This window comes from Homo sapiens, chromosome 15 (genome assembly GCF_000001405.40).
Source record: "Homo sapiens chromosome 15, GRCh38.p14 Primary Assembly".
Taxonomy (NCBI): Eukaryota; Metazoa; Chordata; class Mammalia; order Primates; family Hominidae; genus Homo; species Homo sapiens.
In genome coordinates, this window is record NC_000015.10 from 44,740,763 (window position 1) to 44,761,592 (window position 20,830).

Consider the following 20,830-nt stretch of genomic DNA (forward strand, 5'->3'; position numbering starts at 1 on the left):
TAACTATCCTAAATATATATGCACCCAATACAGGAGCACCCAGATTCATAAAGCAAGTCCTGAGTGACCTACAAAGAGACTTAGACTCCCACACAATAATAATGGGAGATTTTAACACCCCACTGCCAACATTAGGCAGATCAACGAGACAGAAAGTTAACAAGGATACCCAGGAATTGAACTCAGCTCTGCACCAAGCGGACCTAATAGACATCTACAGAACTCTCCACCCTAAATCAACAGAATATACATTTTTTTCAGCACCACACCACACCTATTCCAAAATTGACCACATAGTTGGAAGTAAAGCTCTCCTCAGCAAATGTAAAAGAACAGAAATTATAACAAACTGTCTCTCAGACCACAGTGCAATCAAACTAGAACTCAGGATTAAGAAACTCACTCAAAACCGCTCAACTACATGGAAACTGAACAACCTGCTCCTGAATGACTACTGGGTACCTAACAAAATGAAGGCAGAAATAAAGATGTTCTTTGAAACCAATGAGAACAAAGACACAACATACCAGAATCTCTGGGACACATTCAAAGCAGTGTGTAGAGGGAAATTTATAGCACTAAATGCCCACAAGAGAAAGCAGGAAAGATCCGAAATTGACACCCTAACATCACAATTAAAAGAACTAGAAAAGCAAGAGCAAACACATTCAAAAGCTAGCAGAAGGCAAGAAATAACTAAAATCAGAGCAGAACTGAAGGAAAAAGAGACACAATAAACCCTTCAAAAAGTTAATGAATCCAGGAGCTGGTTTTTTGAAAGGATCAACAAAATTGATAGACTGCTAGCAAGACTAATAAAGAAGAAAAGAGAGAAGAATCAAATAGAAGCAATAAAGAATGATAAAGGGGATATCACCACTGATCCCACAGAAATACAAACTACCATCAGAGAATACTACAAACACCTCTATGCAAATAAACTAGAAAATCTAGAAGAAATGGATAAATTCTTCGACACATACACCCTCCCAAGACTAAACCAGGAAGAAGTTGAATCTCTGAATAGACCAATAACAGGCTCCGAAATTGTGGCAATAATCAATAGCTTACCAACCAAAAAGAGTCCAGGACCAGATGGATTCACAGCCGAATTCTACCAGAGGTACAAGGAGGAACTGGTACCATTCCTTCTGAAGCTATTCCAATCAACAGAAAAAGAGGGAATCCTCCCTAACTCATTTTATGAGGCCAGCATTATCCTTATACCAAAGCCGGGCAGAGACACAACCAAAAGAGAGAATTTTAGACCAATATCCTTGATGAACATTGATGCAAAAATCCTCAATAAAATACTGGCAAACTGAATCCAGCAGCACATCAAAAAGCTTATCCACCATGATCAAGTGGGCTTCATCCCTGGGATGCAAGGCTGGTTCAATATACGCAAATCAATAAATGTAATCCAGCATATAAACAGAACCAAAGACAAAAACCACATGATTATCTCAATAGATGCAGAAAAGGCCTTTGACAAAATTCAACAACGCTTCATGCTAAAAACTCTCAATAAATTAGGTATTGATGGGATGTATCTCAAAATAATAAGAGCTATCTATGACAAACCCACAGCCAATATCATACTGAATGGGCAAAAACTGGAAGCATTCCCTTTGAAAACTGGCACAAGACAGGGATGCCCTCTCTCACCACTCCTATTCAACATAGTGTTGAAAGTTCTGGCTAGGGCAATTAGGCAGGAGAAGGAAATAAAGGGTATTCAATTAGGAAAAGAGGAAGTCAAATTGTCCCTGTTTGCAGATGACATGATTGTATATCTAGAAAACCCCATTGTCTCAGCCTAAAATCTCCTTAAGCTGATAAGCAACTTCAGCAAAGTCTCAGGACACAAAATCAATGTACAAAAATCACAAGCATTCTTATACACCAATAACAAACAGAGAGCCAAATCATGAGTGAACTCCCATTCACAATTGCTTCAAAGAGAATAAAATACCTAGGAATCCAACTTACAAGGGACGTGAATGACCTCTTCAAGGAGAACTACAAACCACTGCTCAATGAAATAAAAGAGGACACAAACAAATGGAAGAACATTCCACGCTCATGGATAGGAAGAATCAGTATCGTGAAAATGGCCATACTGCCCAAGGTAATTTATAGATTCAATGCCATCCCCATCAAGCTACCAATGACTTTCTTCACAGAATTGGAAAAAACTACTTTAAAGTTCATATGGAACCAAAAAAGAGCCCGCATCGCCAAGTCAATCCTAAGCCAAAAGAACAAAGCTAGAGGCATCATGCTACCTGACTTCAAACTATACTACAAGGCTACAGTAACCAAAACAGCATGGTACTGGTACCAAAACAGAGATAGAGATCAATGGAACAGAACAGAGCCCTCAGAAATAATGCCGCATATCTACAACTATCTAACCTTTGGAAACCTGAGAAAAACAAGCAATGGGGAAAGGATTCCCTATTTCATAAATGGTGCTGGGAAAACTGGCTAGCCATATGTAGAAAGCTGGAACTGGATCCCTTCCCTACACCTTATACAAAAATTAATTCAAGACTGATTAAAGACTTAAACATTAGACCTAAAACCATAAAAACCCTAGAAGAAAACCTAGGCATTACCATTCAGGACATAGGCATGGGCAAGGACTTCATGTCTAAAACACCAAAAGCAAGGGCAACAAAAGCCAAAATTGACAAATGCGATCTAATTAAACTAAAGAGCTTCTGCACAGCAAAAGAAACTACCATCAGAGTGAACAGGCAATCTACAAAATGGGAGAAAATTTTCGCAACCTACTCATCTGACAAAGGGCTAATATCCAGAATCTACAATGAACTCAAACAAATTTACAAGAAAAAAACAACCCCATCAAAAAGTGGGCAAAGGACATGAACAGACACTTCTCAGAAGACATTTATGCAGCCAAAATCACATGAAAAAATTCTCACCATCACTGGCCATCAGAGAAATGCAAATCAAAACCACAATGAGATACCATCTCACACCAGTTAGAATGGCATCATTGAAAAGTCAGGAAACAACAGGTGCTACAGAGGATGTGGATAAATAGGAACACTTTTACACTGTTGGTGGGACTGTAAACTAGTTCAACCATTGTGGAAGTCAGTGTGGTGATTCCTCAGGGATCTAGAACTAGAAATACCATTTGACCCAGCAATCCCATTACAGGGTATATACCCAAAGGACTATAAATCATGCTGCTATAAAGACACATGCACATGTATGTTTATTGTGGCACTATTCACAATAACAAAGACTTGGAACCAACCCAAATGTCCAACAATGATAGACTGGATTACGAAAATGTGGCACATATACACCATGGAATACTATGCAGCCATAAAAAATGATGAGTTCATGTCCTTTTTAGGGACATGGATGAAATTGGAAATCATCATTCTCAGTAAACTATTGCAAGGACAAAAAACCAAACACTGCATGTTCTCACTCATAGGTGGGAATTGAACACTGAGAACACATGGACACAGGAAGGGGAACATCACACTCTGGGGACTGTTGTGGGGTGGGGGGAGGGGGGAGGGATAGCATTAGGAGATATACCTAATGCTAAATGATGAGTTAATGGGTGCAGCACACCAACATGGCACATGTATACATATGTAACTAACCTGCACATTGTGCACATGTACCCTAAAACTTAAAGTATAATAATAATAAAAAAAATGGTGGAGTAGAGAAGTCCCAAAGTCCATCCCTCCACAAAAACTGGCAAAAATTTTGAAGATCGAGTTTTTTAAAACTTGAAACTAATCAAAAGCTTACAGCAACCAGGGAAATATTTAATAATAATTAAATAAAACCTTGAATCTCTGTAAAATAACTTTTTAACACTTTAACTTACTCAGGTTTTCCTCATTTCCCATCTTGGTGGTGGTTTTAAAGACAGCTGACATTCCAACTACAGGTACATAGTACAAGTGGGAGCAGCATGGACCTTATTCCCAAAGAACTGTGGCTTTGACCTGTCTGGTGCTTCCATGAAGTATTACATAAAAGGCTTGCCATTAGTTTGTTTAACTCAGAACTTTTTCACAGATGAGATGGCTACCCTGGAGGTATAGTTTGGAAACATTTAAAAGCAAATGTTTTTATTGCTGCCACCTGGGGAAAGGCATAATAGTTGGGGCAAACAATAGAGTAACCAAAAAGCTGAGAAAGAAAGGCTGGGGAAAGAGTTATTTTGGGGAATACCCTTTGAAAAGTACCCACATATTCCTGGTAATCTAGAAGGCCAACTGCATGCCCAGGACTGAGTGCATACTAAAAAAAAAAAAAAAACCTGAGAAAGACCCCAAGTTTTCTTCTCGGAGTGACTTTTAGGATCTGTGTAAGCAGGAACTGAGGACTAAGGAAGTTGTAAACTGTGTGTTGAAGGCATGCTCAACATATACGAAGCCCATTTACAAAGACTGGGAGGTTTTTGTTGTTGTTGTTGTTTGATTTGGGTTGATTCTAGGCATTTAAGGAAATCTCTGTTGAACTATTAGATGACTACTAAGTTCATGGGACAGAATTCAGTAGCTACATGTGACGAAGAATACAGACTTTACAAAATTTGTTTAGAAAAGTCACTAACTAAACAAAACAACTACAACAAGAAGTAACAAAAAACCCCAGAGAAGGTGGAAGATTCTGATTTCCAGAGATTTCACATTATACTTGTCAAAGTATCGGATATTCAACAAGTATAAATAAATAAGAACATATGGCCCATGGACAGGAGAAAAGGAAATTAATAGAAACTATTCCTGAGGAAGCTCAGACATTGGACTCACTAGACAAAGATTTTATATCAATTATTTTAAATATTCTCAAATAGCTAAAGGAAACAATTTGCAAATAAGGAAACCATGAGACTGATGTCTCACCAAATAGTGAATACCAGCAAAGATGTAGAAGTTATAAAAAGGAACCAAAGAGAAATTATGGTGTTGAAAAGCATAATAACTGAAATGAGAAATTCGCAAGAAGTGTTCAAATCAGATTTGAGCAGGCAAAAGAAAGAATTCATGAAACTGAAAATAGGTCAATTGAGATTATGCTGAAGATCAGGGAAAAAAAAGAATGAATAAAAATGAGCAGAGCCTCAGAAACCTGTGGGACTGTTATGCATAGTTGGAGTCCCAGAAGAGAGGAGAGAAGGGGACAGAAAGAATGCTTAAGGAAATAATGGTTTAAAACTTTTGAAATTTGACAAAAGGCATAAAGCTATACATCAAAGAAGCTCAACAAACTCTATGTAAGTTAACAGAGAGCCACACCAAGTTATAATTAAACTATTAAAAGCCAAAAATAATCTTAAAAGTAGCAAGAGTGAAGTGACTTATGTACAAGAGAGCCTCAATAAGTTAACAGCTAATTTTTCATCAGAAATCATGGAAGCCAGAGAGCAATGGGATGACATCTTCAAAGTAATTGAATAATCCACAAAGAATTTTGTATCTGGCCAAACTATCTTTCCAATATGAAGAAGAATTTAAGACATTCTCAGACAGACAAAAACTGAGCTTATCTCTAGTAGATCTTACCTACAAAAAATGACAAAGGGACTTCTTCAAGCTGAAATGAAGGGACATTAGACAATAACTTGAACCCAGACAAAGACATAAAAAAAGCACTCATCAAAGAACTACCTATTTTTGGTTTGTAACTCTTCTTTTTTTTCTAAAGTTTTAAAAGATAATAGCATAAACCAATAATTGTATATAAAAAAAGAAATCAATCTTAGTTTAAAACTCAAGTGTGCAAAGAATAGCACATAGTATTTTCTATAACACTAAATATTGGCTTTGCATTCCCATTCCTGTGGGCTGGAGGTAAATTTGTTATCTTTCAGGAAAGGCATCCACACTGATTAATGCTGAAAGTCCATTACCCAGTCTAGTCAAATTCATATATTGAGGACATTTGAAATATTCTGCCCACTCCCAGCACGTGCACGTGCACACACACACACACACACACACACACATCTTTCTTTAAATATATAGAAACGTTAAAGTGTCAATAACAATTTAAGTGTTAGTTTTTAAATGGTGGATTAAAAACTAATTTTCTCCCTTCTCTTAGAAACTCATCCTTCTTTAAGTCAAAAACCACAAGGAGAATGAAAAATAGACAAATAATTTGCAATGAAACTAGAGACATCAAATAGCTTGGACTACAATCTATGAGGAAGGACTGCCAAATATAGTGAAAGTCAAGCAGGAATGTGAGAAAGGATGCCTAGGGAAGCAGACCTTACATGAAGGGAGGTGGTACTTTTCCAAAGAAAGTACCCCATCCTGTTGGCCACAACCCACAAGCCCTGGTACAGAACAAAGAGAACAGGCAAGCAGGCTTAAGCTGGAGTAACCCATTTGTTATACAGATTTGAGATATGGGAAAGGTGAAGTTGAACAAGGACAAATATGCCATATTTTCAGAAAGCAGTCTGTTGCTGAGGTAGAATGGAGGAGAGAGACTCTGCATTGCAAACAACCCTGCAGTGTTGATCATGGGGAAAAAAGAACCCATGCAAACATTGTTTTATAAAGAAAATAGCCTCAAATATAACCCTGCCTCCATCCTCATACAAGTCTCTTGCAAATAGCTGATTCAGGAAGAACTCACCTCATTCAAAGGTGTTTAAAGAAATACAAAATAAATAGCATCTATAAAACAACAAAATGGGAGAAAATGTCCAAAGCAAAGCACAGAAAGTTATGGAGTTAGAAGATATGAAAAAGAAATTAATAGAAATAAAGACTGGAGTGAGAAGCGTCAACATCTGTCTGATAGGAATTTCAGAAAAAGAGGCTACAGAGAATGGTTGAAAGGCAACATTCAAAGAGAAGATGGCCGTATTAGGTCCAGACAGGCAAGACCCAGGTTTGGGGAGATCAGGCATCAGCAATAGGGAACACAGGCTATGTGAGAAACTATGGAGCAAAGGGCTACAGACTCAATCAAAAGCATTTTCACAACAAAAGTGAGAATGTAGACATGGAATGAGGGCAATATAAATAGTTATTAATGAGAATGGAATTTGATCATGAGGCAAAGAATGTTTAGCCATGTTCCCCTGGCTAGAATAAATCTGAATATAAGGGAAACTAAGCCCATAAGGAGAGGTAAATGTAAACTTCTAACGAGGAATGGGCAGGGTTAGGAATGAGGAACAGAGCAGTTCTGGATACTCCAATTCTCAAGTGGATATATAGCAGATGGAAATTGCTCTGGCCTTCAGGATAGAGTTCTTTGAATTCCCTGATTTCACCAGTGACTTGAGTGTCAGAGCAAGTTCGTACTCCTCTGAGCTCCAGTTTTCCTCTCAAGAACAGAAGAGTAACCTCTGGACAAACTCTCAGGGATTTTGCCTCAGAATACATCTTCTGTCTATATTTAAGTTTTTTATCCTTCAGAGGAAGATGATATGCAAGTTGAAAAGTAGAAGCTAGGGACTTCTAGTTGCACTTTGTCCTGGTCCCATAAATGTAGTGGAGGTCCAGATGTGAGCAGCTCTTGGGCAGAGCCTCTATGTTATTCATTTCTATGACCCAGGAAGTATGGGCATAGAAACAAAGCTGCCATCACTGAATGTTTATTTACACCATTAGACCTTTAGGCACTGAGATTGAAGCCACTTCTGGTGGCCACTTCTGGTGGCTATTCATCAAATAGTAGCCCACCCTGGAAGGCATTATATAGCATTCTGCAAAGCAGGATATTATTCAGTATAAAAATTCTGGCTCTGGGCTGGGCGTGGTGGCTCATGCCTGTAATCTCAGCACTTTGGGAGGCCAAGGTGGGTGGATCACTTGAGGTCAGGAGTTCGAGACCAGCCTGGCCAACATGGTGAAACTCTGTCTCCACTAAAAATACAAAAAATTAGCCAGGCATGGTGACGCATGCCTGTAATCCCAGCTACTCGGGAGTCTGAGACAGAAGACTCGCTTGAACCTGGGAGGCAGAGGTTGCAGTGAGCCAAGATCATGCCATTACACTCCAGCCTGGGCGACAGAGTGAGACTTTGTCTCAAAAAAAAAAAAAAAAAAAAAAAAATTCTGGCTCCGGAGTCAAATGGCTTCAGTTTAGTATTATTAATTTTTTGAGATAGGGTCTTACTTTGTCGCCCAGGCTAGAGTGCAGTGGCATGATCTAGGCTCACTGCAGCCTTAACAGTCCAGGTTCAAGCGATTCTCCAGCCTCAGCCTTCCGAGTAGCCGGGATTACAGGCACGTGACACCACACCCAGTTTTTGTTTTTGTTTTTGTTTTTTCCGGTAGAGACAGGGTTTCACCATGTTGCTCACGCTGGTCTCAAATTCCTGGGCTCAAGCGATCAAGCTTTGCCTTGGCCTCCCAAAGTGCTGGGATTACAGGCGTGAGCCATCATGCTTGGCCTACAGCTTCCATTTTTTCAAAAATTGAGGTAAAAGTCATACAACATAAAATTAATCTTTTAAGATGTACAATTCAGTGGCATTTAGTGCGTTCACAATGGTGTATAATAATCACCTCTATCTAGTTTCAAAACATTTTCGTCCTCCCAAAAGGAAACCCCATGACCAGTCACTTCCAGTGATATGAGCAGTCACTCCCCATATCTCCTTCTCTCCAGCCCTGGCAACCAATGATCTGCTGTCTCTATAGACTTACCTATTCTGTATATTTGATATAAATGGAATCGTGTAATATGTGACCTTTTGTGTCTGGGTTTTTTCACTTAGCATAATGTTTTTGAGGTTCATCCATGTTGTAGCATGTATGAATACTTTATTCCCTTTTCTGACTGAATAATCTTCCATTGTATGAATATGGCACACTTTTCCATTCATTAGTTAATGTGCATTTGGATTGCTTCCACCTGTGCCTATTGTGAATAGTGCTGCTATTAACATTTAGGTACAAGTTTTTGTTTGACTATCTGTTTTCAGTTCTTTTGGGTATATTCCTAGAAGTGGAATTGGTAGGTCTGTCTTATGGTAGTTTTTTGTTTAATTTTTTGAGGAACTGCCAAACTGATTTCCACAGTGGTTGCACCAATTTATATTCTCAATTAACAATGTACAAGAGTCCATTTCTCTGTATCACCAATACTTATTGTTTTCCATTAAAAAATTACGGCAATACAAGTGAGTGTGAAGTGGTATTTCACTGTGGCTTCGATTTGAATTTTCCTAATGACTAGTAATACTAAGTATCTTTCCATGTGCTTGTTGGTCATTTGTTTATCTTCTTTGCATAATTGTCTATTCAAGTCCTTTGTCCATTTTAAAAATTGGGTTGTTTATTTTTTGCTATTGAGTTGTAAGAGTTCTTTATTCTGGATAATAGACCTTATCTGGTATAGGATTTGCAAATATTTTCTTCCATTCTGTGAGTTGTCTTTTCACTCTTTTGCAAAAAGAAAACTAAAAATAGTTTGTTTTTTGTGATGTCTTTATCTGTCTTTAGGACCAAGATAAGCTATCCTCACAGAATGAATTAGGAAGTGTTCCCTCTTGTTTTTTTGGAAGAGTTTGAGAAGGATTGATATTAATTCTTTAAATAGTGGGCAGGATTACCAGTGAAACCGTCTGGTCCTGGGCTTTTCTTTGTTGGGAGGATTTTGATTACTGATCTACTCTCTTTACTTTTGTAGGTCTGTTCAGATTTTCTGTTTCTTCTTGAGTCAGTTTTGGTAGTTGGTGTGCTTCTGGAAATTTTCCATCTCATCTGGGTTGTTCATTTGTTGGCATACAATTGTTCATAGTTTCTTATAATCCTTTTTTATTTCTGTAAGATCTGTACTAATTTACCCACTTTCATTTCTGATTTTAGTAATTTAAATCTTCTCTCTTTTTTTCTTCATCAGTCTACTTAATGGTTTCTAAATTTTGTGGATTTTCCCTCCAAAGAATCGCATTTTTATTTCATTACTTTTTCTTTTTTTTTTTTTTTTTTTTTTTTTTTGAGACGGAGTCTCACTCTGTTACCCAGGCTGGAGTGCAGTGGCGCGATCTTGGCTCACTGCAAGCTCTGCCTCCTGGGTTAACTCCATTCTCCTGCCTCAGCCTCCCGAGTAGCTGGGACTACAGGCGCCTGCCACCACGCCTGGCTGATTTTTTATCTTTTTAGTAGATTGTTTTTCTATTTTCTATTTTGTTTCTTTTCTTTTGCCTTTTTTTTTTTTTTTTTTTTTTTGAGACATGGCCTCACTCTGCTGCCCAGGCTACAGTGCAGTGGAACAATCATGGCCCACTGCAGCCTGGACCTCCCAGGCTCACGTGATTCTCCCACCTCAGTCTCCCAAATAGCTGGAATTACAGGTGCATGCACCACACCTAACTTTTTTTTTTCTTTTTAGATGGAGTCTCGCTCTGTCGCCCAGGCTGGAGTACAATGGCACGATCTCAGCTCACTGCAACCTCCCCCTCCCAGGTTCAAGCAATTCTCCTGCCTCAGCCTCCCGAGTAGCTGGGATTACAGGTGCTCGCTACCACGCCCAGCTAATTTTTGTATTTTTAGTAGAGATGGGGTTTCACCACATTGGCCAGGCTGGTCTTGAACTCCTGACCTCAGGTGATCTGCCCACCTCGGCCTCCCAAAGTGCTAGGATTACAGGCATGAGCCACCACACCTGGCCTTTTAAAAAAATTATTATTTATAATTTTTAGTAGAGATGACATCTTACTGTGTTGCCCAGGCTGGTCTCAAACTCCTGGGTTCAAGTGATCCTTCTGCTTTGGCCTCCCAAAATGCTGGGATTACAGGCATGAGCCACCATGCTCTGCCTCTATTCTTTACTCTTTCCTTCTGCTATCTTTGGTTTAGCTTGTACCTCTCTTTCCAGTTCTAGGGAAAATTTTGGCTATTGATTTGTGGTCTTTCTTTTTTGATGTAGGTGTTTATAGCTATAACTTTCCTTGTTAGCACTATTTTCACTGTATCCCATAAGTTTTGACATGCTGTGTGTTTTTGTTTATTTGTTTTTGAGACAGGGTCTTGTTTTGTCACCCATGCTGGAGTGTGTAGATGTGATCTTGACTCACTGCAACCTCCACTTCCTGGGTTCAGGTGATCCACCTACTTCAGCCTTCCCAGTAGCTGGGACCACGGACATGTTCCATTATGGCCAATTTTTTTTTTTTCTTTTTGTATTTTTGGTAGAGACAGGGTTTCACTAGGTTGCCCAGGCTGGTCTCAAGCTCCTGAGCTCAAGTGATTGGCCTGCCTCAGCCTCCCAAAGTGCTGGGATTAGAGGTGTGAGCCACTGTGCACAGCCTGTATTTTTGTTTTTACTCATCTCAAAGTATTTTCTAATATTACTTATAATTTCTTCTTTGACCAATTAGTTAAGAGTGTGTTGTTTAATTTTCACATATTTATGAATTTTCCAGTTTTTCTTCTGTTATTGATTTCTAGTTTCATTCCATTGTAGTCAGAGATATTTTGTACGATTTTTTAGAACTATTTCTATCTTCACATCTGTCTCTTTTTGCTACACGTATTTTGAGGCTCTGTTGTTGGGTGTGTATATGTTTATAATTGTTTTATCTTCTTGATTGATTGACCTTTATATCATATCCTTGATAATATCCTTCTTTGTATTCTTGTAACAAGTTTAACAATTTTTATCTTAAAGTCTATTTTACTTGATATTAGTAGAGCTACTCCATCTTTTTTGGGTAACTATTTGTATGGATTGTCTTTCCAACTTTTTACTTTCAACTTGTTTGTGTATTTGGTTCTAAGGTGAGTCTCCTGTAGACAGCCTATAGTTGGGTCATATTATTTTTATCCATTTTCCTAATCTGTGCCTTTTAATCAGAAGTTAATCTATTTCGTCTAAAGTAATTACTGATAAAGACTTACCTATGCCATTTTGTTATTTTCTGTATGTGCTTTTTTGTTTCTAAATTCCTTCATTACTTCCCTTTTTTGTGATTAACTGATTTTTTTCTAGCATAACATTTTGATTCTTCTCTTTTCTTTTTCTTTATATTGCTTAGTAGTTTTTTCTTTAGTAGTTACCCAGGGGGTTATAATTAGTCAACTTTATAACGATCTAGGGTGAATTAATGCCAACTTAGTTTTAATAGTACAAAGCAAAAAATTTTACTATAAAAACTCTGCTCCTTTTCAGCTCTGTTTTCTCCTTTTTGTTGTTATTATCACCAATTATCTCTTTATACATTGCATATCCATTAACACACATAACTATTGTTTTGTGCATTTGTCTTTTATATTGAATAGGGGAAAAAGAGGAGTTAGAAACCAAAAACTGCAATATTGGACTTTACCTATGTAGCTACTTTTTCACTGGTCTCTACTTCTTTATATGGCTTGGAGATACTTCCTAGTTTCCTTTCATTTCAACATGTAGGACTCCTTTTAGCATTTCTTCTAGAGCAGATCTACTAGCATTTTTTGTAGATTAAGACTACTAGACAACTCCTTCAGTTTTTGTTTATCTGGGAATGTCTTAATTCCTCTTTTCATGAATATATAATTCTTTATTTTTAAAAAATTTTAATTAAAAAAAAGTAGAAACAGGGTCTTGCCATGTTGTTCCTGGGCTCAAATGATCTGCCCACCTTGGCCTCCCAAAGTGTTGGGATTACAGGTGTGAGCTACTGTGCCTGGCTGGATACAGAACTCTTAGTTAACAGTTTTTTTCTTTCGGCAGTTCAGATATGTCATCTCTCTCCTTCTTGGCTTTCATATTTTCTGAAAAGAAATCAGCTAGTAATCTTACTGAGAATCCCTTGTATGTGAAGAGTCATTTCTCTCTTGCTGCTTTCAAGATTCCTTCCTTGTCATTGGACACTTCAATTATAATGTGTCTCATTGTGGATCTCTTTGAATTTATCCTGCTTGGAGTTTGTTGAGCTTCTTGGATGTAAAATTTCATCATATTTTGGAAGTTTTCAGCCATTACTTTTTCAAAAATTTTTTTTTTTGAGACAGAGTTTCACTCTTGTTGCCCAAGCTGGGGTGCAGTGGAGTGATCTCAGCTTACTATAACCTCCACCTCCCAGGTCAAGCAATTCTCCTGTCTCAACCTCCCAAGTAGCAGGGATTACCAGTGCCTGCCGCCATGACCAGCTAATTTTTTGTATTTTTAGTAGAGACAGGGTTTCACCATGTTGGCCAGGCTGGTCTCTAACTCCTGACCTCAGGTGGTCCACCTGCCTCGGCACCCCAAAGTATTGGGATTACAGGCTTGAGCCGCAGTGCCCGGCTGCTTCAAACATTCTTTCTGCATTTTTCTCCTTTCTTTCTGAAATTCTTATTATGTCTGTTTGATAGTGTCTTGTGGATCTCTTAGGCTCAGTTCATTGTTGGTCATTCCTTTTTTTTTTTTTTTTTCTGAGATGGAGTGTCATTGTTGTTGCCCAGGCTAGAGTGCAATGGCGTGGTCTTGGCTTACTGCAACCTCTGCCTCCTGGGTTCAAGCAATTCTTCTGCCTCAGCCTCCCAAGTAGCTAGGATTACAGGCGCCTGCCACCACACCCAGCTAATTTTTGTATTTTTAGTAGAGATTTTTAGTAGAGATGGCTAACCATCCTGTGTTAGCCAGGATGGTCTAAATCTCCTGACCTCGTGATCTGCCCGCCTTGGCCTCCCAAAATGCTGGGATTACAGGCATGAGCCACTGCGCCTGGCCTGAAATGTGTTTTTTTAAAAAGGAGTGAAGGGGACCCTGGATGGTTGACGATATCACACTACTGACTAAGGAATCTGATTGATTTTCCAATTCTTTGTATATAATTTCTAGAAAACAAAAATAAAATAAAGGTAATAACTAGTAGAGCAGAAGTTGAAAAATAAAACTTTCAAAAGACACTTGGGGAAAGTGGGTAAAGAGAGAGATGTACAACAAAGTACATTTCTTTGATTTAGTACTGTTTCTTCCTCTGCCTTGATTCTTTATTAAAGTTTAAATAGCATCATACGCTATAATTTCAGAAAACACTCAAGTTACTGGTTCACTTTCAAAGGAGAGATTATGTGCTTTTACTTTAGTTGTACCAATTTTCAGCTCCTTTAGGAATGGCGCCATCATCCTGGAGTGTTAAAATGGGCAACAAGAAAGATAAACTCATTTTAGCTGTTCTTTTCTAAAGGTATCCACCAACCCCTCCTCCAACATCGATCCAGGCGACTATGTTGAAATGAATGATTCAATCACCCACCTACCCTCTAAAGTGGTGATACAAGATATTACTATGGAGCTACACTGCCCTCTGTGCAATGATTGGTTCCGAGACCCACTGATGCTAAGCTGTGGCCACAACTTCTGTGAAGCCTGTATCCAAGACTTTTGGAGGCTGCAAGCAAAGGAAACATTCTGTCCTGAGTGTAAGATGCTATGTCAGTATAACAACTGTACATTCAACCCTGTACTGGACAAGTTGGTAGAGAAGATTAAGAAGTTACCCTTACTCAAGGGCCATCCACAGTGCCCAGAGCATGGAGAGAACCTGAAACTGTTCAGTAAACCAGATGGGAAACTGATCTGCTTTCAATGCAAGGATGCTCGGTTGTCTGTGGGGCAGTCTAAGGAGTTCCTGCAAATCTCTGATGCTGTCCATTTCTTCACGGTGGGTGAGCCCTGGGCCTTGAACAATCCCTTAGAAAAACTAGGAAAAATATTTCATAGGGCTTCTTCTTTCTTCCAACCCCATCCCTTTATTCAAATGATGATTAGAAAGCCCAGACTGCTCAGAAAGTACAACGTATCTTGCAAAGTTCTTTTTCTAGAGTTGCTGCTTATAGGAAAGGAACAGTGGAGGAGCCCTGGCTTACTCCCTCAATCAAATCTGTACCTAAACTCTGCCATGGTAGCACTCTGCTAAACACTGTGTAGAATATGGATAGATAAGATATTGCTCTTGTTATAAAAAATTCAAAATTTGGTTAAGTTTAAAATGAAGAAAACAACAGAAGCAATATTAAGATAGCCTCGTGTTAAAAGTTAAATTTTGTCACATTTGTAATTCTTAAGGGTTTAGAATTTCTGAGACTATTAGAGAAAAATGAAATAGGGGACATATAGTGAAAGAAAGGGAAAGGACTTGAACTGGGAAATCATTTGGATTTTGAAGGGCAGAAGGAAGAAACAAATGTTCCAAGTGAGAACAACACAAGTAAAATGATAGATGCTGAGAACAGTATATAACTAGAGTGGAAAATGTGTAGAGTTCTATTCCCTTCTTCAAATCCCTGTAGCTAGCTACTAAGAGAGAAAAACTAAGTTTTAAGCTGTAATTTACTCCATAATTCTTTTTTTTTCTTTGTTTTGAGATGGGTCTCACTATGTTGCCCAGGCTGGTCTCAAACTCCTGGGCCCAAGTGATCCTCCCATCTCAGTCTCCCAAAGTGCTGAGATTACAGATGTGAGCTGCCACACCCGGCCTTTTCTTTTCTTTTTCACAATTCTTGAACGAGACAAGAACTATGATACAGGGGAAGGGGAAGATTTTTGCAGCAAGAGCTTGCTTTTTTCTTGCACACTGGGGCCTTGGGGAAGATGTCCTTTATGGTCCTTCATCTCCCGAGTTAGTCTGGGTTAATTCTATTTGATATTCCCAGGAGGAGCTTGCCATCCAACAGGGTCAACTGGAGACAACTCTGAAGGAGCTTCAGACCCTGAGGAACATGCAGAAGGAAGCTATTGCTGCTCACAAGGTGAGGAGCAAGAAAGAGGGGTTATGAGATAGAACTGGAACACACCCTCCATGTAACTTCAGCTATGGGTACAAAGGTGCCTAACATATATTATCTACACACTAAATGGTACCTAGGCTATGGAATTGGAAAACTGAGTCTGTAGGGTGGAAAGGAATATGGTGGTGGAGTAGGTTCCTAATAGCTGATCAACAGAGCAGATTAACCTTTCCCCTAATATGCTGATCTTTTCGATAGTTCAGTCACCAGGTGACTGTCGTGGCGTTGAAATGTGTCTGGTCTTTGGCTTTATCTATGGCAAAAAAAAAAAAGGAACTTATTAGAAAAAAATCAATCACTAAAGATTGCTATGTCCAAAGAAATACCTTTATTTCCTTTGAGTTTATAACCAGACACCTCTGGACTAGGTCTCTAAGGTCATAGGCTTTTCCCAGCTGATTTGATCTTCTTAGCTTCCTCCAAGCTAAATAAAGCTATTGTCTGCACTTTCAACTTCATAGGCACTCTAGGACAACATTAATGGCTAGAGCTTTGGCAAATCAGTCCCTAGATTGGGGGTGCTAAATTGGAAGTTCTGTTTCTTTATTCATTATTCTATGGAGAAGAGCCTTCTCAGGTATTTGGCATCTGGAAGAAAAAAATATGCAGACTCAGGGAAAGAAGAAGGATATATGGAAGTAATGATGTCTTCAGAAAATCTTGTTCCTTTTGTAAAAGTTCCTATTAGTGTGAGCATTCATTCATTCATTTAACAAATATTTATTGAGTGGGTCAGGCATAATACTAGATATTGGGGATGGGAGACAGCTGTTAATTAAATAATCCCATGAGTAATAATAAAATAACAACTGTGATAAGTACTATAACTGAAAGTATAGGGTATGATGATAGCATATAAATGGAGAACATAATCTAGACTGGGGGAGGGGTGTTCTCTGAAGAAGTCACATTAAAAATTGAGAATTGAAGGATAAGTAACTTATCCAAGTGAACTGGGTGAGTGGGGATATGAAGGAGGTAGCCTGGAGAAGAATGTTCTAGGAATAGAAAAGAGTATCTGGAAAAGTCCTGAGATGGAAAGTTAGCTGCTATGTTAAACAGAGAAAAGGCCAATAAAGCTGGAACATGCTAAGCAAGATGATATTGATGAGGTGGATATGGGCTCACTGTAACCTCATACTCTTGGGCTCAAGAGATCTTCCCACCTCAGCCTCCTGAGTATCTGGGACTAGTTTGCCACACATGGCTAATTATTTTATTTTTGGAGAGACTGGGTCTCACTATGTTGCCCAGTCTTGAACTCCTGTTCCAAGCAATCCTCCCAGCTTGGCCTCTATAAGTGTTGGAATTACAGGTATGAGCCACTGTGCCCAGCCAAGACTATCTTAAGGTGCAATAATAATTATGGACCATGGGATCCAAGCTAGATAAGAGAGGACATGAAGGTAGAAGTTCCTGAATAGAAATGGAGGGATCGGTGAATAGGAGGTTTCAATGAGATCCAATAATTGTTGCAATAGGAGTATCTGAGTGAGCCTGGTGCATAAAAAGTTATTTTGGAGATGATACAATTGCTGGGGGTGATAAAATCCTAGGTGAGACTATAGGAATGAATCAATAAATGTGGAAATCACTAGAAATGAGGAGAATGAGGAACTGAGAAGCCAGGATGTCAAATAGTTTAACTGTGAGGATGTTGAGGTAACCCAAGGAAAAAGCTGCAAGTGTAACAGTGGCATTCCCCCAGTTCTGATTTCTAGGTAAGGACAGTTCTTCCAGCCTCCCAATACCCCCAGTCTAACAGTACCACTTGGCAGCTTTTGGATTACCAATCTAGGAGGGTATTATCTTTCATTCTAGAATGTTTGACTAACTCCACAGTCTTATTTAATATGGCATTGGTTACCATCTCAGTACTGCAATAGGAAACTGGAGGTCACTTTTGCCTATTTCATCCTGAACTATTAAATTAGTTGGAAAAGGAGTAAGTCTCCCAAAGGACTCATTTTAGTATGACTGAATTTGATATTCAGTAGCCATTTGTATGCATTTTTCTGTGATGGTATTTACCAAGTGTGTGAGTGTTGGTGGTGTGGGCCCCCATCCCCAAGCACTAGTCTCTGCAATAACCATGGTGATAATCATGGAGGTTTCCAGGAAAACAAGCTACATCTGCAGCAACATGTGTCCATGGAGTTTCTAAAGCTGCATCAGTTCCTGCACAGCAAAGAAAAGGACATTTTAACTGAGCTCCGGGAAGAGGGGAAAGCCTTGAATGAGGAGATGGAGTTGAATCTGAGCCAGCTTCAGGAGCAATGTCTCTTAGCCAAGGATATGTTGGTGAGCATTCAGGCAAAGACGGAACAACAGAACTCCTTCGACTTTCTCAAAGTGAGAATCCACACCAATATGATTATGGGTACCTTCCTACCTAGAGGGGGGAAGAGGTTTGGAAAGAATGCGGAAGTGGCTTTTCACATCCAGGGAAAACAAAACAAAACAAAACAAAACTGTTATAGTGCTTTTAAGATTCTCTGGAAGAAAAGGAGGAGGCTGCTTCAGCTATACGCACAGCAGAAAGCTTTACTTTCATCCTCTTAGGAAATACGATTTTTAAATTCCATTAATAATAGTATATAGTAATGGTTTAATATTTTTCCATAAAGAGCTTGATGCTTTATTTCTCAAAAATAAAAATGTTGCAGCCTGAGTTGTATCTTTGGCTCTCAGCAATCATAAGCTGACCTGTCTGAAAAGCTGTTTTCTAACCTTTGCTTTCTTAAGCTTCACCTCTAAAGAAGCGTTGGTTACCATCTCAGCACTCAGAAGTTTAATTAGCTAGAGTAAGGAAAAGTGGCCTTGGGACTGGGATACCTAATGTGTTTTTCTTCTGAGACTATTTGAAAGTATAGGTAAAGATAGCTTAACCTTAAGTATTGTCTTATTGGCTTCTGTCTTGCTCCCTGTAGAAGAGAACTCTAGAAAGAGCAAAAGATCAATTTAACCTGGGTTAGGATCAGGGATGAAGATTAGAAAAAGTGTATGAAGGATGAAAGAAGTTGGTAGAGATGAGTTCGGGACCATCTGCACAAATTCTGGTGGTGGCTGGTATCACCAAAGAAATTTTGAGAGTTGATGAACGGGCATCTGATGTCTCTCTTTCTCCTTTCTTCTAGGACATCACAACTCTCTTACATAGGTAAGTGTTTCCCTATGGTACTATTAATATCATTCCTTGAGTCTCTGGAGGATGTCTAAGGATAAATGATTTATGTGCCCTGCAGCTTGGAGCAAGGAATGAAGGTGCTGGCAACCAGAGAGCTTATTTCCAGAAAGCTGAACCTGGGCCAGTACAAAGGTCCTATCCAGTACATGGTATGGAGGGAAATGCAGGACACTCTCTGCCCAGGTATCAGTGGGTAGTAACTATTGGTTCTTGAGGCTCCTAATCTACGTTTAATCTGTGGGACTTCTTCTGTGGCCCTAATTAAGTTTTTACAGTCTGGGATAGGGAAGGGGTACAGTTTGGCCAAAAGGAGGCTAGTTGGTATGACTGAATTTCTTCTAGTACCATGACCTAAGAATTTATGACTTTGTGCTGGTAAATAGATATGAGTTTGATATCAGGATTACTTCTTAGCATATGATTTTGACTGATTTATGAAATGTGGCAACAGCCAAAATTTTATCTTGTTTTGCTAAATCAGCTATATGAATCCCAGGGGCTTCTCTGAAGAAGGAGGAGGTTTCTGAACATACTCTTTTTATGTACACTGGGTCTTTACAGTTTCTTTTGTGCTTGATGTTCATAGCGTAGAACATTTTAGAAGATTGTTTAGATCTTCAGTGCTTCAGAAGAAAACCAATAATTTAAATAAACATACCTAAGAAGGACACTAAGTTTTTGTGTTCCTGTAGATACCAAAGGACTGAGCAAGATAAAATAACACACATGGCATTTCAAGAACATCAAATAAAGTTCTAAATAAAAATCTTTATAGAAATAAAATTCTAAATAGAGTTTTTATAGAATTCATAGACTCATCATTATTATTATTGTTTATGGTTATTGATTTAATGAGAAATCACAAATATATCCCTGATTTAATGAAAAATCGCAAATTTTTCCAGGTAATTGACATTGAAGAAAAATCAACTATACTGAGATATAGTTAACATAGAGTAAAATTATCCAATTTTAAGGGCACAATTTGATGAGTTCTGATGTATATATACACTTAGGTAAACCTCTCCATAATCAAAATATAGAAGATTTTTATCACTCCAAAAAGTTCCTACATGCCCCTTTGAAATCAATCTCTTCCTTCTACTCTCAGCCTCTAACATTCACTGACATGTTTTATTTCACTTTAAATGTGTCTTTTCTAAATTTTTGTCTAAGTGATAGCATACATTATGTAGTGTTTTGTGTCTTCTGGTTTTTTTCACTTAGCATAATTTTTTTTTTTTTTGAGATGGAGTCTCGCTCTGTTGCCCAGGCTGGAGTGCAGTGGTGCCATCTCTGCTCACTGCAAGCTCTGCCTCCAGGGTTCATGCCATTCTCCTGCCTCAGCCTCCCGAGTAGCTGGGACTACAGGCGCCTGCCACCATGCCCGGCTAATTTTTTTATATTTTCAGTAGAGACGGGGTTTCACCCTGTTAGCCAGGATGGTCTCGATCTCCTGACCTCGTGATCTGCCCGCCTCAGCCTCCCAAAGTGCTGGGATTACAGGTATGAGCCACTGCGCCAGGCCGCATAATGCTTTTTGAGCACTTATGTTGTTCCATGTATCAATAATCATGATTATTTATTCAGTTTACTTATTCATTTCCCAGTTGATGGACATGGGGTAGTCCATGGTAGTTTTATCCATCCTGCAATTAGTGAAAATCCCAGTTTCTCTATATCCTTTCCAAAACTTGATATTGTCAATCTTTTTAATTTAAACCATTTTATTGAATGTATAGTAGTATCTTATTGTGGTTTTAATTTGTATATCTCTTGTTTTGGTGGGAGGGTGGGACAGAGTCTCACTCTGATGTCCAGGCTAGAGTACAGTGGTGCATCTCAACTCACTGCAACCTCTGCCTCCGAAGCTCAAGTGATTCTTGCGCCTCAGACTCCCCAG

At 38.8% G+C, this 20,830-nt stretch overlaps 1 protein-coding gene across 5 annotated transcripts in view; it reads left to right on the top strand.

Moving 5' to 3' along the window:
• Positions 1-20,830, top strand: part of TRIM69 (tripartite motif containing 69) — a 31,300-nt gene that overhangs the window by 4,235 nt on the left and 6,235 nt on the right. Inside the window, exons 2-6 of one of the 5 annotated variants that reach the window (NM_182985.5) lie at positions 14,138-14,614; positions 15,606-15,701; positions 17,859-18,092; positions 18,878-18,900; positions 18,986-19,110. In NM_182985.5, the coding sequence (NP_892030.3) occupies positions 14,138-14,614; positions 15,606-15,701; positions 17,859-18,092; positions 18,878-18,900; positions 18,986-19,110 (955 nt within the window). Of the gene's footprint in view, positions 1-14,137; positions 14,615-15,605; positions 15,702-17,850; positions 18,093-18,877; positions 18,901-18,985; positions 19,111-20,830 lie in introns of all 5 variants that reach the window. The other 4 variants (NM_001301144.2, NM_001301145.2, NM_080745.5 and 1 more) reach the window with 4 other exon arrangements.